Source organism: Homo sapiens, chromosome 13 (assembly GCF_000001405.40).
Source record: "Homo sapiens chromosome 13, GRCh38.p14 Primary Assembly".
Classification (NCBI taxonomy): Eukaryota; Metazoa; Chordata; class Mammalia; order Primates; family Hominidae; genus Homo; species Homo sapiens.
In genome coordinates, this window is record NC_000013.11 from 51,105,447 (window position 1) to 51,128,989 (window position 23,543).

General features: G+C 44.2%; 1 protein-coding gene across 4 annotated transcripts in view, besides 3 other annotated features; it reads right to left on the bottom strand.

Moving 5' to 3' along the window:
- Positions 1-23,543, bottom strand: part of C13orf42 (chromosome 13 open reading frame 42) — a 90,270-nt gene that overhangs the window by 23,328 nt on the left and 43,399 nt on the right. Inside the window, exon 2 of one of the 4 annotated variants that reach the window (NR_102431.3) lies at positions 7,747-7,776. The exons of 1 other annotated variant lie outside the window; for it this stretch is intronic. Coding sequence is in view for 2 of the 3 variants with exons in the window: in NM_001351589.3 (NP_001338518.1) it covers positions 5,350-5,763 (414 nt within the window). In the remaining variant the exon portion in view is untranslated. Of the gene's footprint in view, positions 1-5,349; positions 5,829-7,657; positions 7,779-23,543 lie in introns of those variants that run through there. 2 more of the 4 variants (XM_024449398.2, NM_001351589.3) reach the window with 2 other exon arrangements.
- Positions 5,086-6,285: an enhancer, noted in NCBI's record as "CDK7 strongly-dependent group 2 enhancer chr13:51684668-51685867 (GRCh37/hg19 assembly coordinates)". NCBI's record gives its function as "activates an origin of replication core promoter dependent on BRD2, BRD4, P300/CBP, MED14 and CDK7 cofactors, with strong dependence on CDK7, by STARR-seq in HCT116 cells {active_cell/tissue: HCT116}" and the evidence as "EXISTENCE:reporter gene assay evidence [ECO:0000049][PMID:35650434]".
- Positions 6,970-8,169: an enhancer, noted in NCBI's record as "CDK7 strongly-dependent group 2 enhancer chr13:51686552-51687751 (GRCh37/hg19 assembly coordinates)". NCBI's record gives its function as "activates an origin of replication core promoter dependent on BRD2, BRD4, P300/CBP, MED14 and CDK7 cofactors, with strong dependence on CDK7, by STARR-seq in HCT116 cells {active_cell/tissue: HCT116}" and the evidence as "EXISTENCE:reporter gene assay evidence [ECO:0000049][PMID:35650434]".
- Positions 20,392-20,441: a silencer, noted in NCBI's record as "silent region_5364". NCBI's record gives its function as "represses an Ori minimal core promoter by ATAC-STARR-seq in GM12878 lymphoblastoid cells {active_cell/tissue: GM12878}" and the evidence as "EXISTENCE:reporter gene assay evidence [ECO:0000049][PMID:35858748]".

A 23,543-nucleotide genomic window follows, 5' to 3' on the forward strand; every position in this document is an offset into this window, starting at 1 on the left:
TTACTAAAATATTATTAAGGGCATCACTAACCACATCACACAAGACTCCCTAAGTCAAGTGCCATATGAGATATTTTGAAATTCAAAGCCAGGGGGAAAATCTCACTCCCCTAAGCAATGGGTATGGTTCTTCTCAGATCATCAGAATTTTGAAACAAGCCCAGCTCTTTTTATCTTAGCTTCCAGCAAGGACAGAGCCAAATCTAAGGCTCATCTATGGCAGCTGAATTAGCTTCTATGATCTGCATATTATTTTGAGTGGTCTTGATTTTCTATGATTTTTTTTCTCTCCTGATTTTCCAATTTCTGGTGCTACTTAACAATTCTGTATGCTCTTGAATCTTGTATGTTATACAAGATCAAAATACGTTTTCCAGTCAAAAGATGCTGTAGATATATTGACAGTATGAGTTTCGACATGATACAGAAGCTAATTCAGCTACACAGAAGCTAATTCAGCTGCCATAGATTCTTCATCTCAGATACTTTGTAGAATGAGCTGGGAGATATGAAAGTATCTTGTTGAAAAATGATTTCAGGACATAATACCTACCCATCATGAAGTTCCGATTGTAGCTGTGCTTGCACTGTTTCCTCAGTTCTTTTCCTAGTGTGTACTGAGAAGTGCAAAAGTAGATGATATACAAACTCAATATTTCAATGCTACAGAGACCTAGAGTAAAACTGGAATCACAGGTAGCCATGTGAAAAGAAGTCAAGATGGAGATAAATTCCATCCACGGATTGTGGAAAGAAAACAATTTAAAGCATACCTTCTGGCCACTTCCTTTCAGCCAGGTTTCTCTTGAAGAAAAGAAGCCCAGTCTCTCCCACTTTGGGAGGGCTTCACCCTACACAGAATCCACGTGCAGTATGACGCAGCTGCCTCCCTAATGACTCTCCCTGGCCCAGGTGTGCAGGATAAAACAGCCTTTGCAGTACACATCCTAAGGTGCACACTCTTGCATCTTCTAGGTTATACAATATCAAAACATGTTTTCCAGTCAAAGTGGATACATTGACAAGGGTGTGAGTTCTGGCACGATACAGATTGGGATCAAATCCTGGCTTTCTCTTCGTCAGGAGCATGGCCTTACACAAATCTCTTAACGCCCCCAAGCCCCAGTTTTCCCCTTTATAGAATGAGGCTAATAGCCAACAGGTCAGGTTTGGAGGGTGATTAGAAGTCAGGAATACAGCTGATTGCATGGGAGCAGGGGAAGTGGGTGTAGAGGAGAACATCATTGCTCCTCCTGACTGGCAAGAAACACCCAAGGTGCCCAGAGCAGGAGGAGGCTTGTCCTGTTGGTTCAGAGACTCTACATTCCTTGACAAGACACACTTCAAACATGCCATCCTTCTGCCACACACATTATGCCCTGGGTTAGAAATTCTAACCTTTTAGCACCTAAACAATGAGTCCCAAACTGCAGCTCATTCCCAACACTGACACAAAAACCCTCACGTACGGATTTTTTTTGTTGTTTTGATTTTAAAATGTTGCAAAAAGTGTATTTCATTCATTCATTTTTATAATGACCTATTCTGAGGGAGGAGTACATTGCCACAGGGCCTGGCAGAGACTCCCACCATGCAGGGTCCCAGGAGGGGCTCCCAGACCCACCCGAGGCTCACCTCGCTTCTAGTGTGTCCTGACTTCCTCCTCCCATCGACCCACATGGGTGGTCTTCTAGGCTCTGGGTATCTCCAGGGGGCTGGGGTAACAGACCATTTGGTACCCTGGCCTTGGATGCCATTCACATGTCAATGGGACCTGTTAGAAAGCCTCATTCCAGAGCATGAAAGCCATATGTCTTGATCCAGTAATGGCTTGTGAAATCAAGTTACTGTGTCATGACAATTTTTTTAAAAAAAAATTAGAATAGCATAGAATGCTTTGGAAAACATCAGAGTGCTAAGCAAGGAACAGGAGTAAGTCTATTTCATAAAACTTTTGTTTCGTTTGTGTGTTTGGGTAAACTGGGTCAATATCCAAAATATGTTTCTTACTGCAATGGATTCTAATCAAAATAGTTTAAAAGCCACTATCTTACCACAAAAGAGGGACAGACAAGGGAACTTAGGTCCTGTGGCCAGGCCAGGGGCTTGCATCCGGATGGAGGGAGGGAGGGCAGCAGAAAGGGCCTGCCATGGTGCCCTGGTGTCACAGAGAACACTGCTCCCTCCCTATATGGAGGCCGGCTCTCCCCTCTGTATGGCACAAAAGACATCAGACTTTTAAAGGCTATAAAGCATCTACAAATGATTGATAGTATTCACTTTTATGCTCTGGAGATAGAAAAATGAGAAAGATACTGTTTCAGCTTCAAGCTCACCAAGTTCACTGCAGTCCACCAGGGGAGACGCACATTTTAACAAACCACAGTAGGATGTGATGAAAGCTAAAATAGAGGTGTGTTCAGACCAATGCCGGAGAAGAGAAGAGGCTAATTCTATAGAGGGGTATATTCATTTCCTAGGGCCACTGTAACAAAGCACCACAAACTGGGTAGCTTCTGTAGCTTAGAGCTATAGATCTCACAGTTCTGGAGGCCAGAAGCTGTCCGCAGGGCCATGCTCCCTCTGAAGGTGCTGGTGAAGGGTCTGTTCCAGGCCTTTCTCCTGGCTTCTGGTAGGTCCTTGGCTTTTGTCCGTGGCATTCTCCCTGCATCTCTGTGTCCTCACATGGCCATCTTCTTATGAAAACACCAGTCCTATGGGATTAGGGGCCCACCCTACTCCAGCATGACCTCATCGTAACTAATTACATCTGCAATCACCTAGTTTCTAACTGAGGTCACTATCTGTGGTACTGGGGGTTAGGACTTCCACATATACATTTTGAGGAGATACAGTTCAACTCATAGTAGGTAGTCAGGGGAAAGAATGGTGTTTTCCCTAAACCTGGAATGTCAGCAGAGCTTTCTCCCAAAGCATGGGGTAACGGCATTCCAGGGCAAAGGATTCCTTCTGGTCCCCTGTCCCGGCAATGCACAGAGACCCAGGCAGCCATGGGCCACCCCACCAGCCATGAAGCCTGAACCCATCATTTCACAGGCAGGCCCAGCATACAGCTGTTTCTGTCAGAGCCATGGGGAAAGACAGCAGCTGAAAAGACGGCTAAGAGCCTCCTGTATCCAACATTTCAGAGTCAGTGAACGCTGGAGTAAGTACCTGGTATGTGCTAGGAACAATTACGTGCAGGAGCCTACTCCTCACATTATCATTTCCATTACTACCTGACAGAAAAACAGACCCAGAGAGGTGAACTTCCCTTAACAAAGGCACACAGCTGGTAAATAGCAGAACTAAAATTCAAATCTTGGTCTGATTGACTTCAGTGTCCTTTCAAAACTCTTTCCTGATTGCGCTGTGGTGAGAGGCATCTCCGAAGGAGATCCCTACGTTATATCAGGCCCATGTGCCTCTGCACAGCCATTCAAAGGGCTAGAACTGGTCATTCTGCTTCTATTCCCTCCATCTTCAGATAGCTCAACAAGGAAGGGAGGTAGGTCCTATAAGAGAGAGCTCCATTTGCAGAGAAATGTAGTACCTAGAGGAAATCTAGCCAGTGCCTACTACCCCAGAATATCCAAGCTGGAAAGGAGTCCAGAAACCACTGCAACCCCTTCTGTCATCAGAGGTGGCTGGCCCACAGATCTACAGCTGGCTGGCCACAGAGTCAGCACCAGGACTCGTGACTAGGACCCTTTTTTATGGGCCCCCAACACTGACATACTTTTAGAGTTAAAATGATTATTTAAACTGCTCCCACCTGGTATAACATGCAGACAGTTGAAACCAATTGGGTTAGGCCAAGCCCTAGAGATTTGATAGTGGGCCAGTCAGTCATTCAACATTAATGGAGTTTGCACGGCCTACAGGACACTCTGGGGAGAAAGCAAGGAAGCGGGAGACAGGCCTGCTTCAAACATCTCATCTGGTCATCAGGAAAATGACTGATGGAAGTATACAACAAAACAGCCTTAACCTACGGGCATTAGAAATAAATAAAAGCTGGCTGAGTTTGGCGACTCATACCTGTAACCCCAGCAACTTTGGGAGACCAAGGCGGGAGGACTGCTTGAGGTCAGGAGTTTGAGACCAGCCTGAGCAACAAAGCAAGACTCCCATCTCTACAAAAAAAAAAAATTTTAATTAGCCGCGTGTGGTGGCAGGTGCCTGTAGTCCCAGCTACTTGGGAAGCTGAGGTGGCAGGATCACTTGAGTCCAGGAGGTTGAGGTTGCAGTGAGCTATGATCATGCCACTGCACTCCAGCCTGAGCAACAGAGGAGACTCTGTCTCTAAATAAATACAAGTCTGAGGAAATAAAGGAAAGAGTAACTGAATGAATTGCCGGCTCATAATTAAAATTAGGTGACCTAGCACCTAGAGGTGGGTCACTGAGCCTCGGTTTTCCCTTCTGTGATACTGAAGGAGTTCCTCCCCACCTACTGTACTGGCTTTATTGTGACGCTCAAGAAAAGTTGGTATATACAAAACACTGCAATAAGCATAAACAAAGAGATAAATGCAAATTATTTCTTTCACTCATTTCATGCTTGTGACTGTCTGGAGACCTCCAGTGCCCAAAGCCATCCGGGAATCTCCCAAGAGACACAGACTCTCTCCGTGTCTATGCCTGAGCCACCACATGCCTGGTCTGAGGTACAGATGGAGGAATTTTCCAGTTGTTTGGCTTGCGTGGGGCTAAGCACCTCAATATTTGAAAACATCTAGTCATGTGATGATTTCACTTTTCACCAGGATTTTTAGATGTGACAACAATAATTTTTTAAAAACCAACAATTTGTTGAAAAATGATTTGCTGTCATCCAAATGCCATGCAAGCATTATCTCACCTATAACACTGGGAAGGAATTGATAGATGTGCAATGCAAATATGGTGCCGCCTGACACCAAAACCCATGTCTTCCCCACCGAGCTGCTCTGTGGACACCACTACCTGCTCCTTTTTGCTTCCTGGGTATTAAAAATAAACATGGATCAAGAAACTACCAATCAGGCACTATGCTTATTACCTGGGTGACAAAATAATCTGTACACCAAACCCTTGTGACACACAGTTTACCTATATAACAAACCTGCATGTGTACCCCTGAACCTAAAATAAAGTTAATAATAAATAAATGAGTAATAAACATGGGCTTAGCCACCCTTCCCCAGGCTGGGGATATGGCCGCATAAAGCATCTGAGGACTATTGCGCCGCGGCTCAGAATGTGTCAGATTAATTAAGCCATGCAGAGGTAGGAAGAAGCTTTCAAACAGTTGCCCAAGGCTCTCAGAAAAACCCTCATCTAAATTGTACTGCTCAGCAGCACTTACCTTTATTTCTTTGGGAGTAGACCGGACAGGAGTCTTTTTCCCTCCCTTGGAGGATTTGGAGGAGGTTGAGGAAATCCCCTGGGTGCGGTGGGGCTTCAGATCACTGAAGCTGCTGAGATATTTTTTGCGCAAGGCCAGCAGCTCCTGCAGGTACTGCAGGCAGTCCTGGGTGCGCGAATACATCCACGCCCGGTCCTCCTCCTGCCGCAGGTAGTACAGGCTGGTGTCCATGCTACTGGTGCTTTTGTACTTCTTTAAGGACTCGCTGAATTTCTCCCCGTGGTCCCCGACCACATACATGGAACTGCTTCGAATCAGCTTCACTGCGGGGCTGGCTCCTTCGTAGAAGGGGCTCTCGGCCGCCGTCTTTCTCTGTGGGCTGGAGTTAAAGATGGAGTGGATCTTTCTGAACATAGTGCTCGATTTCTTTCTGTGGGTACCTTCCAGCTGCCTGTGCTGCCGCCACTTGATCTAGATGCGGGGAGAGAAGCCGACATCCAGGCCTCGCACCATCTGCCTTCCAGGAGGCCTCTGATCTCTAGGATCCCAGGGAGCACCGGCTTGATCAGGTGGGTAACCTGCACATCTCCCATGGGGGATGTTTACATCCTATAACCAAGAGGCCATAAACAACCCGAAGATAGAAGGTGGCGCACTGTGAACTTAAAAATGAGTGCCCTGGCTGGCTTTATGAAGCATTGAGTGCAAATACCTTCAGTGCTCTCCCGTGGAAGGCCCCAGCTGGATGAAGAAAGTGGGACAGAGCTTTGCCTGCTCAGTTATTTTCTTTCCTTTTCACTTTCCATCGCTGGCCATGGTCTCACTCAGTTTGAGTTGATCTTGGTGTGAATTTTTACCTTTCCACCTGGGCTGAGCTGACTCCGGTTCTGAATTCTCTGAATCCAAAATGAAATTCTACTTAGCAGGGACAGCCCTTACCCAAAAATCATGTGTTGCTCAGGGTAAAATCTAGTCCCCCGAGATGGGCCAGGGTGGACACACCAGGGCGTTGACAGGAGCTCGCAGATCCCCCCGATAAGCTGGGCTCTGAGCAGGCATCTGAGCGTCCTGGAAGAGCCTCGCCCTGCGGTAATGGACCTCACAGCCGTTACCGGATAGCAGCCCATTGTGGAGGCAGGAGGAGGATTCAGATATCCGGACCACGACTTTTTGCACAGAAGCATCAGTGAGCTGAAGGGTGGCCACATTTGTGGGGCAGACACTTTCTTTAGCCCGAGCACATTTTTAACTTAGACTAGTTAACATCAGACATAAACTGTTTTTTCAAGAGGGCTGTAGGAATCTATTAGAATTCCAGAGATGTTCTCTGTAGCATTTTTCTCAGGCAGATGCTAAACATTGTTATTTTGTTCATTCTTCTATGCAGTCTATTTCTCTCCTAGACTACAGTCTGAGAGTACAAGCCTGCACCAGTCTCTAGGTCAGGCATTTTCTTAAGCTATGAGCTAAGAGAAAGTATGAGCCCCCAGAAATTGTATGTAAAGCATTACTGAATGAATGTATTAGCATGGTTTATTTTTGCTGTTTGCTCTGTGTGTGTGTGGGGTGTGTGTGTGTTTTAAGAGAAAGAAAAGATTCACGGTTTTATCAGATATTCAGAGGTCTCTGATGCAAATAAAAACATTTTTAAATGTTTCTATCCTGCATCAGAACAATAACGATACTTTTCTTTGTATGACTGTAAAATATCATTATAAATGTTTTCCTGTTGAGGGCATCCTCTGCCTGTGGCATTCTAAGCACTGGGGTAGCACAGCCCCTCACATGTGGAGCATTTCAGCTTCACAGTTGTAGCATGCTTTAGGGATGATAAAGCATCTCCACACATACTAACTTATTTAATATTTGCAGCTTCCTTGGAAGAGAAGCATTATTTCCATTATCATCTTTAGTGGTCATCAATTCACAGATGAAGAAGGGGCGCGCTGGAGAGGTTATGAGACTTGTCTGTGGTCTCAATCAGGCGAGTGCAGAACCAGTCCTCAGACCCAATTGTCCAGCTTCCAGCCCATTATGCTGGTCCCAATGCCCCCTCACTGCAATGAACTCATAAAGTCACCGAGTTCCCAGGTATCCAGGGGAAGTCTCTCTCCAAACCACTTCCCTACCTTGACTCATGCATAATATCAAAGCACCCGGGATGGGTAAGTGCTGACTGAACTTCTTCTCAGAGGTAGCCACAGGCTATGACTACACAGCCTTTCTCAGTAGCTTGTGCCTGTGGGTTTACAATTACGCTTATTCTACATGGATTTAGAGAGTTTAAATCAATAAAAATGAAGTCTACCTCCATATCCAGAATGCCACAAGCGACCTAACCTCTTGATCACAAAGGGAATAAAACTGTCTTCTACATTCTCCTTTCTTCACTCCTACCTCGTGCTGGATTCTTCCCAAGGGTCAGACCTAGAAAGAAAATTGAGATAAAATTCTACTGACATCAACCTGCAGAACATTTCGTGAACACGAAATGGACAGGACATTAAGCAGCAGCCATGACCCAGCAGCTGACTGCTGTCAGTCACCTCCGACGCCAGTCCTGTCCTGAAGCCGCCTCCCTCCTGGAGCTCCTACTGAGTTGAGTGAGGGGAAAGAATGCTTTCTCCCTACAAAATACTCGTCACCTCTGCTGGTGGAGGAAATTCATCCAGAATAGTGACTGCCTTTAACGTATCTTACTTAGATTTTCTCACAGCCTCAGCTATAAGAAACGGGTGTGAAATCACCTTGTGGTTTTCCAAAGTGTATTTTGTGTGTGTGTGTGTGTGTGTGTGTGTACGTGTGTTTGTGTTTCAAGTAGAGACAGGGTCTTGCTATGTTGCCCAGGCTGGTCTTGAACTCCTGGCCTCAGCAATCCTCCTGCCTCGGCCTCCAAAAGTGCCTGGATTACAGGAGTGAGCAACCATACCTAGCCACAAAGTGTATCACAAAGAAACTACAAGTGCCCATCAAACCCCAAATCAGTCCCCCCAGGCTTGACTCTTTTTACACATTGTGGAATGCGGACAAACATCTAAGCAGGGAGAGAGAAGGGCCTGCATCCTCTCCCCCAGCCTAGCCCCTCCACATCAGCCCCACTGCCTATGTGCTTCTCACTGGGCTCAGACCAGATTTCCTCTTCCTGGTGGTGTCAGAGCCTTGAGGCTTGGCCAGAGAATCTGCATAAAGTGACTTGTGTAACAAAACTTGCTTTATTCCAGAATTTCTCAAATGTAAAGTGCAGAACCCCAGAGTGATGGCTGAGCAGTCCAGAGGATTTGCCATGTAGCAGTGCTGGGCTGGGGCAGCCACAGGCAGCAGGTGTAGAAGAGCTGACTGAGCCTCTGCCTGCTCCTAGATGAGCCTGGTCTTGTGGTGTTGCTCATGACTGGAAGGGCAGGCCAGGATGAGAATGAGAGTATGGGCCTTACTCAGAGTTTGAATCACAGGTCAACTACCTACCAGCTTAAGAAAGTTATTTAAACCTCTGAACTCTGGATCTCTCACCTCCAAAACTAGATACCACCTATTTCATAGGGCTGGTGTAATGATTAAATGAGATACTATATCCTTTGCCCTACATCTTCTCATTCCTCCCTGCACCCCCACTCTGCCTCTGGTAAATACCATTTTATTCTCTATCTCTGTGTATTTGACTTTTTTTTCTCTTTTTTAAGATTCCACATATAGTGAGATCGTACAGAATTTTTATTTCTGGGTCTGGCTTATTTCACTTATCATAATGTCCTCCAGGTTCACTTGTGGTGAGTGGCAGAATCTTCTTTTTTAAAGCTAAATAATATTCTACTACAGATAGATGATAGATAGATAGATAGATAGATAGATAGATAGAGATAGACAGACAGACAGACAGACAGACAGACAGACAGACAGACAGACAGCTTCTTGATCCATTCATCCATCAGTGAACACTTTGGTTGTTTCCGTATCTTGGCTATTGTGAGTAATGCTGCAATGTGCAGATATGTAGGATGAACAAGTCTAGGACTCTAACGTACAACATGAGGAGTACATCAAATAATAATGTGTTGTATTTGAGATTTCTGCCAAAAGAATAGGTTTTAGGTGTTCTTGTCAAAAAAGGAGGGAGATGGATAACCATGTGGGATGACAGATATGTTCATTTGCTTCACTGTAGTAACCATATCACTTTGTATATCAAAAGATCATGTCATATACCTTAAATAAATACAATTAAAAAACAACAAAAATAAATGAGATAATAGAGAGCACTTAATATGCATATTTGCTCAATCATAGTAATTATTACTTATAGGAATATAAAAATATGATTACTACTACTTCTACTTCACAGTTCCCAGCATATAGTTGCCAAGCTATTATTCCAGGTAAATATTTGGAATCCAATTATAATTCAAGGGGCCTTTCATCCTGCAATATTTGTAGAGATCACAGGCTCAAATGGGCCATCCTTAATAATATTCAGCTAGAAACTGCTAGTTTTACCCACTATCCTGAAGAGTGCTAAGTTTCCCTAAGATGTTCATTGGTGCCCCCTATCGTGACTAGCACACCTGCTTACGGGGCATTTGACCAGGCACCCTGTCCCTTTCAGGCATGGATTCAGGTGAGCACCCCATCATTTTCCTCCCTACAGTTGGGGACGTTGCCTCGTATCATGGTGTAACCGGGGATAGTCTGTGGCACACACCTCTCAAGGTCATGGTTCCTTTAATCCCACCAGCCTGCAACTGTACTTCATCTAGAGTCCCAAATCAAAGAAAACAATCAGCACCTTGGTCCCTAATTGCACATCTAGAAATCCCCTCGACCACTCCCCTGACAGGAAGGTGACTCTGAGTCAGTCCTTCCAAGAGGCAGGGAGGTGGGGGTGATGGGGAACGAAGGAAGAGCACAGAAGAAGAAGGGGACGCTGAGAAAAGGAAGAGATCAAATAAATGTGTTGAATATTGAATGAAGGGTAAGATTACAAAGTTCGACAACGTGTATCCCATGTCACGAAGTCCAAGTCCATTTGCACAGTGTATTGGAACATTTAGCTTTCTGGTTGCACTATGAATTCTGAGGAAAGAATTTTCCCTGGAGACCAGCTTCCCTGGCTCAGACAGCAAGGTCCTGTGCTTTAGATCTTTGACAGATGAAGCACAGTTCCCTGGGGAAAGAGCAGCTCCAAATCTCCCTGGGCTCGGCCCTCCACATATGAAGACCAAAAGCAGAATAACACATCTCTACACCATCCCTTCTTACTTTAACATGCTTGGAAACCTCTAATAAAAAAAAAAAAAGTCCTTGTAAGCAAACATTAGATCCTCTGAGGTTTACAAGACTGAAAATGTACTGGTGCTTGAGTACACAAAGGGCTGGTGGCGGGACTATATCCTCCTTTAGAAGGCGTGGCCCTAATTTGGGAGCATCGTGTACATTGCTGCCCATCAGGCAGAAGGGGCACGTCTGACAATGGGAGGTAGGGTAACCCAGCTAAGCCAAGCTTGGAGATGAGTAATGAGAGGCTGGGTTGGAGAAAGTTGGAAGGGAAGGGTGAAGGTGGCAACAGGCAGTTAAAGGAGGGTCTTAAAGGCCAGTTCAACAACTTTGGATTTAATTCTACAAGGTGCCTGTTATCAGACCTCTGGGAGCCCATAAGACATTTTCACTCAATTTAGAAAAAGTGCTCTCTCCAGGTGAAGGCCAGGTAAGCAGTCCCCACTGGCTCCCTTGGCAGGTGCCTGGGTACAGTGTACAACCCACACAACAGTATATGGTGACCCTGGCTGGTTAAAAACTTAGAACAGAAGATGATGTGGCAAATGGAATTGTGAGAAAATTCCATTTAGGAAACTTAAGTAGGAGCTCCATGTGATTCAAGAAAGGCTAATTATTTGTTTATCTATTACTATGTACAAACCATTCCAAGACTTCCCTGGCTTAAAATAATGATCATTATATTTGCTCACAAATCTGCAATTTAGCTGGGCTTCTGTTGGATGTGCCAGTGGCACTTATGTGGCTGCATTCAGTGGTGGGTTGTCTGGGTCTAGGCACAAATGGGGAGCCTCTCCCTCTCCACATGGTCTCTCCAGTGAGGTGGCCGGAATACTTAAATGGATGCTCAGGGCATCCAACAGTTCAAAGGTGGACACGGCCAAGCCTTCAGGCTGAAACTAGGAACTAGCACCCTGGTTTTCCTGCCCAATTCTATTGATTTAGTCAAATCACAGGACCAACTCAGATTAAGGGGAGGGGACTACACAAGGGTGTGAGTACTAGAAGAATGGCTCATTGGGGCCACAGGTATAGTAGACTGCCACATTTCCTTAGGAAGCTAAGATGGCCATCCAGGTGGAAGTAAGGAGGACGTCATTGGACAGCAGCCAGTGAACAGATTTTTCTAAGAATAAGCTCCAAATTATTTGTAGTCAGCTTTGAGAATACTATATATCCTAGTCAGTTTATTTTTCTAAATGTATTCAGCAAAGACTAATAGCAAAATAGATTATAGTGCCCAAAATTGAGTTTCATAAATCATTGTAGGAATAGATCTCATTTTCCAAAAATGTAAAAGGAAAGTGAATAATTAGGAGTGGATTATATAATACCTTGGAAAGACAAATTCAGGGACTGAGCCTTATCTTTAATCATTTTAAAGTGATATACTGCAGCATTTTATTGGAACTTTTAGAAAAAAGATATAGTCTTCTCATGAATGCTTATGCTTCCTTATCAAACGTTTACATGACAATCAACAGAAAAATTGAGTGTGAATTTCCAAACCCAAGGTAGAAGGCTGAGACTGATGGTACTTTTGGGGTTGGAGTAAATAAAATATCTGCGGTCCAGTATTTTTTTCACATTCTCCTGCACCTACCTCCTACTTACCACTCTTCCCAGACCTTCCTCTCCCCTCCTATTTTTTTCTTTTTTCTCTAATTTAAGGCTATCATATTAGAGTATCAGTTTGGCTTCCATAACTGAAATAGGAATATACATATTTATTTTTCTCTTGTGTAACAGTGCAGAGGAAGCTAATCCAGGGGAGATGTCTCTGCTCCACGTGAACACTCAGGGACCCAGGCTCTTTCCATGTCATTGCTCCCTCACTCCCTAAGTAGGTTGCTCTTGCCTGCATGGTCAAAAGTGGCTCAGAAGAAAGTATCCTTGTTTCAGCCAATAGAAAAATGGGAAGGAAAAGGCTTTGCACATTCCTTTCACTTGTAATCACCTCCCGTTGACCAGAATCTACTCACAAGGTACCCAGAGCTGCATGGGGAGCTAAGAAATGTGGTCTTTTGTGGCATGATCTTGTGTCCAGTTCCAACTTCTGTTGCTATAGCAGCTCTGGGGTCAGAGGGAGGCAAGCAACAATCTCTGATAGATGGCTCAGTTTCATTTGTGGAGTTAGGAAGGAGAAGGGAAATAAGATGAAGAAGACATTTTCTTCATCTGGACCTTGAGTAGTGACATTGAGGGAAAAACAACTTTCTAGCTTTTCACAAGATCAAAGTCTTCCTATTTATCCCCTGACAGGGAACTGGTCTGACTGCCTCCTCCACAACAGTCCTCCAGAAGACACCTGGAGAGGGGCACGACAGGCCTCCTACCTCACGCTTCCTCACATCTTCACCTCCTCAATCGATGGAAGGACACTGATTGCTTTGTGGGGCTCCAAGTGTTGGGCCACCAGGCATTTGCTGTTGGATTAGCCTCAGTGAGTCTTCCCTAGAATCAGGAGTCAGTCAACACTGGGGCAGAGAGTGAAGCTGCCCTGATGGGGGGCTTTCAAGGTGGTGGTTTTTTTTACACAGGCAGCCTCGGCTATCTGCTTTCATCGATGAGAAGTGGTGACTCTTCTTCAGGCAGCAGCAAGAACTCAGAACATATTTAGGTGAAACAATCCCTGCACATAGAGTGACCATACATCCAGTTTGTCTACTACTTGTATATGGCATAATTATGAATAGCACCCCAAATAGATGATCTTGTAGCCTAGGGTGCTAGTGACACAGCCAACCTGGCCTTATTTGCATGCTTGGGCATACAGTATGCCCAGGGGTATAGTATGCCCAGGAATACAGCATGCCTAGGTGTGTGGCATGCCCAAGGGTACAGTATGCCCAGGTGTACTGTGTGCCCAAGTGTATGGCATGCTCTGGTGTATGGTGTGCCCAGGCATACAGCATGCCCTGGTGTACAGTGTGCCCAGGTGTACGGCATGCCCAAGAGTACAGTATGCCCAGGTCTACAGTGTGCTCAGGCATATGGCATGCCCTGGTGTATGGTGTGCCCAGGTGTATGGCATGCCCTGGTGTATGGTGTGCCCAGGCGTATGGCATGCCCAGGTGTACAGTATGCCTGGGTGTACAGTATGCCCAGGTGTACAGTATCCCCAGGTGTATGGCACGCCCTGTGGCTGCAAGCATGGAGTGAGCTGCAGATCCTCAAGTCATCAAGAGGAAATGAGAGGTTTCAGAACTGGTTCAGTCAATAACACCTGGGTGCACTGGGAACAGAGTGTTTGTTTGGAATTTAGTAACCTTCACTAAACCTGGTGAATTCACAGGTGATATCAGTGGGTGTGAATGGCTCAAAAAGAGTCCTCGTTTGTCTGATCAGCTTGTCTCTAGCAGAGCCAGAAAAGCATTGAATGCTTTCCTGCTGCCATGGCGTACAGAGTGAGAGGGGAAATCGCCAAGAGGTGGAAGCAACCCAAATGCCCATCAACAGATGCATAGATAACCAAAGGTGGTCTATACCTGCCATGAAATAGCACCCAGCCTTAAAAGGGAAGGAAATTCTGACACACCCTACAGCATGGATAAGCCTTGAAGACATGATGCGACGTGAAATAAGACAGACACAAAAAGACAAATACTGTATGATTTCACTTATATGAGGTGCCCAGAGTAATGAAATTCATAGAGACAGAAAGAATGGTGGTTGCCAAGGGCAGAGGAGAGGAGAAAATGGGAAGTTAGTGCTTGATCTGGACAGAGTTTCAGTTTGGGAAGATGAAAAGAGTTCTGGAGGCGGATGGTGGTGGCTGCACAGTGTGAATGTACTTAACGCCACTAAATTGTACATTTAAAAATGGCTAAAATGATAAATTTAAAAACAAATAGATTCCCAAGGCCCTCTAGAGGAACTCCCGACTCAAAGAGATCGGAGAATCTGGGAATTTTTCCTTTTAAAAAAAAAAGAAAGCATCCCAGAGGATTATTACCATCAAGGAAGTTTAGGAAAGTATTGAAGTCCGCGCTGATTTATAGGCACTCAATAAATGGTCACTCAATAATAGTTGCCATTGTTACTAATAATGTAAATGGTTTCATCTGTAGAGGTTCCACTTGAGAATTACAGTAATAATCATGGTTAATATTTGCAAGCACTGACTACGTATGCTGGGCTTTTACATGTGTCATCTCACTGAATCCTATAACTTTACCTATCAGGTATGATTATTGTCCCCACCACAGAGATGGGGACATTTAGAAGTGGACCTTTTTAAGTGATGTGCCCGGCCTCCTATATCTATTGTGTGATAGAGCCAAGATGTGAACGCAGAAGCTGTGTCACTGGAAGCGGGTATCCTTGCCGCATTATGAGAAGCTCCACCGGGGCAGGAATTGTGAATGCTCTTGCTCCCTGCTGTATCCACATTGCCCTTCTAGATATGTAGTGGGAGCTTTATAAATATGTGTTAAATGAGATTCAACCTTTTTATGATCATAAAAAATGGTTATCTGAATATCTGTCAAAGGAGAAATGCCTTGAGACTGTTTCCACCACTTCCCACCTTCTTTATTTGTCTCTAACTTCAGAGGTCCTGAAAAGGCACCAGATGTGGAGTTAGAAGACCTGGGTTCTATTTTCGGTTCTGTCAGTCATTGCTGTGTGATTTTGGGAAAGCCTTTGGTTTCTTCTTCAGTAAAATGCCCGTCATAGGTGAGGTGGCTCACACCTGTAATCCCAGCACTTTGGGAGGCTGAGGCAGGTGCATCACTTGAGGTCAGGGGTTCAAGACCAGCCTGGCCAACATGGTGAAACCCTGTCTCTACTAAAAATACAAAAATTAGCCAAGCATGGTGACACGTGCCTGTAATCCCAGCTACTCGAGAGGCTGAGGCAGGAGAATCTCTTGAACCTGGGAGGCAGAGGTTGCAGTGAGCTGAGATCACGCCACTGCACTCCAGTCTGGGCGACTGAGCGAGACTCCGTCTCAATAAACAAATAAATGCCCGTCATAATAAACCCTGACCTCTTCTGCCCCCTGGTGGTTGGGTTTTAAGGGTTCTCCAGCCACACAAGCTGTAGTGGTTGGTAGCTGAGCCCAGGGTTGAGAGCAGGATAGAGTTGCCCTCCTGCACTCAGAAGGGCGCGCAGCTGTCCTGAGGAACACTGCGAAGGATTCACCAAGCAGATCAGAGCCCAGAGACCTAGAACGGTGCCATGGGAAGTGTGGAATCATTCCAAACTGCATACCTCACTGGCGACCAAAGACATTTAAATTAAAACCAAACCACATTTAATACTTGTTAGACCAGACCTTGAGAAAAATGATACCTGGGGTTGCAAGGGTGGGGAAAGTTTCAGGGAAAGTTACTCTAATATGCTATTAGTGACAGCATCTATTGGAATAACTTTTGTATGGGGTATTTTGGAAATACATATCAAAATCCTTAAAATTGTGCATTCACTTTGATTTGGCTATTCCACTTCTAGTACTCTAGCCTGAAAAAAATTTTCTTTTTTTTTTTTTTTGAGACAGAGTCTCACTCTGCTGCCCAGGCTGGAGTGCAGTGGCGTGGTCTCGGCTCACTGCAACCTCCACCTCCCGGGTTCAAGTGATTCTCCTGCCTCAGGCTCCCGAGTAGCTGGGATTACAGGCAAGTGCCACCACGCCTGGCTAATTTTTTGTATTTTTAGTAGAGACGGGGTTTCACCATGTTGGCCAGGCTGGTTTCAAACTCCTGACCTTGTGATCCACCCGCCTCGGCCTCCCAAAGTGCTGGAATTACGGGCGTGAGCCACCGCAACTGGCCTCATAAATTTTCTACAGCTGAGAATTAGCTAAATAAATTACACTTGTATAATGGAACACAGCAGTTACTAAAAATGATGTCTTAGAGCAATAATTAATAATGTAAAAAGATATTCACAATGTAATAAGCGGAAAAAGTCCAATGTAAAACAGTATATACAATACATTCCCTTTTACGTGTCTGTATAATAAATATTTCATGTATTAAGTACACAAATGTGTTGTTTTGAAGTCATGTAGAAAAAGAATATTTAAATACACAAATATTTTTAGTATATTAAGAGAAAAAGGAAGGTTGAAAATATACAAATAGTAAATACGGTATAATGTAAATGCTGAAAATATATATTTACATATATAAAGAATATATATCAGAAATATATATGACCAGAATATATGATTAGAAAAGAAAGCATTGGGCTGGGCACAGTGGCTCACGCCTGTAATCCCAGCACTTTGGGAGGCCGAGGCAGGTGGATCACTTGAGGTCAGGAGTTTGAGACCACCCTGGCCAACATGGTGAAACCCTGTCTCTACCAAAAATACAAAAACTAGCCAGGTATCATGGTGCATGCCTGTAATCCCAGCTACTCAGGAGGCTGAAGCAGGAGAATTGCTTGAACTCAGGAGGCGGAGGTTGCAGTAAACCAAGATTGCGCCACTGCACTCCAGCCTGGGCGACAGAGCAAGAACTGTTCCAAAAAGAAAAAAAAAAAAAAGAAAGAAAAAAAGGAAAAGAAAGAAAGAGAAAAGAAAGCACTTATAAGCTTAAAAAATTTTTTTAAACCGTCATCTTGTTATAAAGTGCTAGCTCAGCTGTTTTGTGCTTGAATTCCTGCCCACTACAAGTAGATTTGACTGATAGATCAAGCTAGAGCCTTATCAATTCCCCTGAAATAACCTGTGACCAGTCTTAAAATTGGATGGTAAATCCTCAGGGCCTTGTGGATCTCTATTCTGATTATTTCTTTTCTTCAGTTCTGTTCTTGTTTCTGATTATCATGTTAGAAACAATTTTTAAAACACCCACTGTTATTCTATCCTCACCAATCTTGTGGTGATCACTTCACCGTCATCTAAAGTCAAACCAAGAGGCGGGGGCAGTGCATGCTGAAAACAATGGGGGAGAAAGGAGATGTTCTGATAGCATTAGAAAGATGGATTGATACTTGTGGTCTGTTTTGCCCACTGCTGTATCTCCCTAGCTAATCCGTTTTCTTTGATCTTATCCAGAGAGCAAGCTAAGCCAAAACCACACGTGGTGAATGATTAACCAACGTACAAGGCAATCTGAAAAAAGTTCCTCCCCTCCCCCAGGGACCCTAGCACTGCTCATGGTTCTCACTCTTGTTACAGGTCGGTCAGGATGGGCTACTTTTGCTGTGACAACAAATAACTCCAAACTCTTATTGGCTTATTACACAGATTTCTTTCTCAATCATATTGCATATCTATTGCAGATCAGCTGGGGGCTCTGCTTAGCCTCTTGGGACTAAGGCTGACCCAAGCTTCATCTCAACAGATTGATCATGGCAGGGGGAAGACAGCATGGTGAATCATGGATCATTCCTAAACCTTCCAAATGCAAATTACACACATCACTTCTGCTCACACTTTGTGGACCAAAGCAAGTCATATGGTCTCTTCAAATTTCAAAGCAGGTGGGGAAATACAATCTTAGCATGTGCCTGGAGGAGAGCCAGAATATTTGTGAACAGCCCTAAAAATGCCTGTGCATCATCACGGTTTGTGTATTCAAACCATTTCTCCCTTTTAGTTCAATGTCAGCTCACATGGGGCAGGAATAAATTCTTCTACATAGTTCAATCTGCCTCTATCACCTAACCCAATTCCTGACACACCTCAAGTACTTACTATTTATTGAGCGCATGAATGAATAATTTGTCCCACATAATGGAAACCACCTTTGCAAAACTATAACTGAGAAAATTATGACAGTGAAAGATATCAGACTTAACTGAGCCCATCTTGCTTCTAACCTCTAAACAGTCCTTGTTCATCCCTGGGCGTAGTCTGAACTAGCCTTCGGAAGGAATTTAGTTTATAGTTTAAAGCTAAACTGTCCCCGTAAAACAAATGAAAAGCTACCAGCCACCAAGTTAGAATAAGAGGGGCTGGAATTCTAAATATTACCAGCCATTATTCCGGAGGTTATAAGATTTGCAACTTCCCCACTTACTCTTGAAGGTAACATCACTATTGTGAACCTAGGATCCACCTTTTGAGATGTCTTTTCCAGTTTTTGCATTTCTAACAACTGAATAACCCCACCTGAACCTGCCAACCAGTTCTGTGGCCCCACCCAGGAACTGACTCAGTATAAGAGAACAGCTTCGACTCCCTACAATTTCATCCCCGGGCCAACCAATCAGCACTCCAGATTCACTGGCCGACCCACCAAATTATCCTTAAAAACCCTGATCCCCAAGTTTCCGGGGAGACTGATTTGAGTAATAATAAAACTCAGGTCTCCTGCACAGCCAGCTCTGTGTGAATTACTATCTCTCTATTGCAATTCCCCTGTCTTGATAAATCGGCTGTCTAGGCTGCGGACAAGGTGAATCCACTGGGCGGTTACATAATGAGGAGGTAAATGTAGGAATTTAGGTGCTTTCAGGTTGTGCTACGTTGTTAGTTGTCAGCTTTTCATCACTTTCATCTGCTTCTCACTGAATCTTCCTTTCCTGGAATCTCCTGCCTTTTACAGGTTGAGCTCAATTTTCCAATGAGAGAAATTTGCCTAAGCTTTGGAAGACAGTGAAGAGAGGCAATCCTCCTCAGGTCATGGGGGCCACAGCAGACACAAGGTTCACAGTGGCATCTAGGCTTCTTATCAAGCACCAGGTTTGGTAGGAGGTTTTCCAGAGTTTCTTGAAAATTTTCGCAGCAGTTTCCTGGCAAATGTTAGAGAACCACCCACTTAGGTATTCGGTCTGACCTTCCAGCTGCTTCCATGACCTTCCAGCTGGTTTCACTCCCCCAGCTCTTGTTCCTTCATACAAACCCTAATTCTTAAATTAAACCTCGTTGTCCCCATAACACACAGAGTGGCTTTAATGCAGGGTCTTCCTTTATTTTTTCTGAGGGTTAAATGAATTTTTTTTTCCTTTTGGTCACACATCAAAGAAACTTGTTACATTTACTCTGTAAGCAAGCCCTCTATGTAAGGTTTACTAGTGTTTTTCTTCTCAAGTCTTAGCTGGAAAAAGGGCCTAAAGATCGTTTCAGAGCTCTAAAGGTACAGTACCTGCTAGCAGCCTGCCTTGCCTCTCCATTCATTAACAGCCTCTCTGCTGGGCGAAGGTGCCAGTCTTATCTGTGACAAGTAAATTAGGAACAGGTATAGCTATAGGTCATAAATCTTTCAAGGTTTGCAGGAAGATTGGCAAACGTGTCTATCCTGACCTATAATTGCATTATCTTCCCACTAAATTCTCAGCTCCCTAGTTTGCCCCTTTCAGCAAAGCATGTTATTTTCTTCTTCTTGGAAGGAACTTGAGTGAAACTGCTACTTCACATCAAATATTGGTGCCTGGTTCAGTTGAGGATTTTAGGGCATAGATTATGCTTGTCGAGAATGTATATTTTATCCCTACACTTTTAAACTCCCTTTGAGTGGAAAATGGCTGGCCCTTTCAATGCTGTAACTCAAAAAGCTGATGGAGAGAAGCCACACACCTCTCTAACAGTGCTGGGTGGATTAATCAATTGCTGAAAGTGAATATTAAAAAAATTCAAGACTCAGCATGATTCTCAGTGCTTGTGAAGAATCACTCAGGTCACTGTGGATGCCAGCACCAAGCTCCACCCCCCAGTGTCTACGAATCAACATCTACAGCACCTAGGCTTATCCTTTTAATCAATCAGCAAATATTTGCTGGGAGCTACTCTGTGCTCATCACTGCCCTGGGCTCTGTGAGGGTTTTCCTTGGACTGTTCCTTCTCTGTCTCCTTCACAGTTTTCTCTTCATCTATCAGGTCATTAAATAAATGCAATGACAACAGCTAACTGAGCTCTTAATATGGTGACTGTTTTCTCTCATTTGGCTGACCATGCGAGTCTTCTCAAATGCACCAGGGGGCAGCACGTCTGCAGGATCAGCCCTGGTCCTGCTCCGTGTGAATAGCAAAGCAAGGACAATCCACGCCATTACAATAACAGGTGCACCAAGATGGAGAGGAAGCCTGTCAGAATTAGTGAATGTATGCAAATTTCATGTGCCTGTGTGCCTACGTGTGTGGCCGGGTGGATGTATATTCACATCTTAAAAGTTGTGGCAAAGGCATTGCCACTATTTTGTTTAACATGCATTGAGCACCTACCATATGCCAAAACTGGTGCCACTTGCCTTAGTTTTTGTCTTTAATATGAAATTATTTATAATTAGCATTTTATATGAACAGCAGTGCCAATGAAATGCATTGAGGTGTATTTGTTTTGACACTGAAGTAAAATAAGCATTTCCCTCTAATCTGTTGACTGCCATTTAAATGGCTTATAAAGCACCTATTCTATTAAGAATAACATTTAAAATTAGTTACATTCAGGCAAAACTCTATCTTTAATGAGCTGGGGATGAGACAGAGACGCAGGAGGGCATATTAAAATTATTTCCTTGAAGTTAAAACATTCCAGAATTTACCTACAAATTTAAAAAGCATTACCTTCAGCTCCATTTGTTAAATTGTCCACATGCATCCAGGGTTCTGTGATGCTTTATTTGCAAACAGGATGTATTCACAAATGGAAGGTGCTAGGCAAAAAGGAAGCCCCTCACCAGGTCCAAAATAACTTCTGAGAGTGCTGCCTGCGTTGTCCTGGGCTGGGAAGTGGCTACCCAAGGACTGAGGGCCAGGGACGATGGGAGTGAATTACCAGGGGAGGTTCTTGCCCAAGACTGGGGGAGATGGTTGCCAGTTCTTTTTGATGGACCAAGGCCAATGCCACACCTGATTATTTCTGACAAATGAAGAATTCAATAGTGGTCAAGGGCCAGGTGTCTGAGGAATTTTAAAAGATGAGAGAAGGGCCTGGTGCAGTGGCTCACGCTTATAATCCCAGCACTCTGGGATGCCAAGGCAGGTGGATTCTTTGAGCCAAGGAGTTCAAGACTAGCCTGTGTAACATGATGAAACCCTTCTCTACAGAAAAGAAATACAAAAAGAGCTGGGCGTGGTGGCAGGCGCCTATAGTCCCAGCTACTCAGGAAGCTCAGGCAGGAGGATTACTTGAGCCAGGGAGGACAAGGCTACAGTGAGCTGTGATCACACCACTGCACTCCAGCCTGGACCACAGAGCAAGACTGTGTCTTAAAAAAATAAAAATAAAAAAATACGAGACAAGGCGGAAGAAATGGAAAGGGCCACAGAGAAGTTGTAGCCACATCTTGAAGGAATAACAACCAAGAAGGAATAACAACCAGCCTCAGTCTAGGCAATTTACCGACTCACTCAATCCTGATGATAGCAACGAGGAGGTAGATATTAGTATGACCATTCCCATTTTTCAGAAGGGAAATGGATTCACAGAAAGATTGTGTAACTTGTCCATAGCCATACAGCTAGTAGGGAAGCTGGATTTGAGTTCAGGCAGGCAGCTCAGGGTCCCTTTTTATCCTCTCTACTACCCTGCTTCTCTGTGTGTGAACCACAAGGAAGACTGGCTTATTAGTCAGTGGAACCTGACTCTGAAAACTTTATGAAAATAATTATGAGGCAAACACTGCAAAGTGTTACCTTCCATGAAATCTAGGTGGTGGGGGTCTTGGGTGTCCAATATATTACTTCCTCAAATTTTGAAATATGTTAATAATTTAAACAATTTATATGCCTATAAGACAATATAGTATAAAATTTACATTTTTAAAAAACTATACGTATTGAAAACATTACATTAAGTGAAATGAGCCAGGCACAAAAGAACAAATGCTGTATTATTCCACTCATTCTAGGTACCTGTCAGAGGTGTATGAACCAGAGCAACTCCATCTTGAATAGGGGCTGGGTAAAATGAGGCTGAGACCTAATGGGCTGCATTCCCAGAGAGTTAGTCATTCTAAGTCACAGGATGAGATAGGAGGTCGGCACAAGATACAGGTCATAAAGACCTTGCTGATAAAACAGCTTGCAGGAAAGAAGCCAGCCAAAACCTACCAACACCAAGATGGCAACAAGAATCACCTCTGGTCGTCCTCACTGCTACACTCCCATCAGCACCATGAGAGTTTACAAATGCCATGGCAATGTCAGGAAGTTATGGTCTAAAAAGGGGAGGCATGAATAATCCACCCCTTGTTTAGCATATCATCAAGAAATAACCATAAAAATGGGCAACTAGCAGCCCTTGGGGCTGCTCTGCCTATGGAGTAGCCATTCTTCCTTTCTTTACTTTCTTAAGAAGCTTGCATTCACTTTACTCTATGACTTGCCCTGAATTCTCTCTTGTGCGAGATCCAAGAACCTTCTCTTGGGATCTGGATTGAGACTGCATTCCAGTAATATCTTTCTGTTGAACCATGCAAGGGATGACACTGAGGAGAACCCCAACCTCAAGGAAATAGACGGCAGCACTGATGGGCCAACTTTGGGTAAGTGGGGTGCATATACCTGGGTAAAGGATGGGATTGGGTTACAGGCCCAACTTAGGGGAGTTAAAGTCTCTCCTAAGACAGAATGGGCTAAAGGCCCCACTCAATAAAAGGCAAGGACGCTTGACTGAACTTGGGTTTGAGACTCAGCATAGGAAGGTTAGAGTCCTTCCTAAGATTTAGGGGGTTAGAGACCCCTCTCAGTAAAGTCCCTCTCGGCTAAGAACAGATTTGGCACTATGGGATGTTAACTGCTATTCTCTTTGGATTAATCTGCCTTGCACTCTTTGCTGATGTTGTGATTCACTCAGGATGGTGGAAGAAATATTAAAGGGAAATATTAGGGAAAGTTATAGGAAATAGTCACAAACCTTTTGGAAGGCCGAAAGGTTACATAGCTTGTAATAACTGAAGAGACTGAAGGCAGCCAGTTCTTACTTTGGAGCATTAGGTCATAGGGTAAATACTAGGGACAATAGAGGCTTCCCCAGTTAAGTCTGTTTACCCTACCTCCATTAACTAACCTTTGAGCTAGATGACCCTCTCAG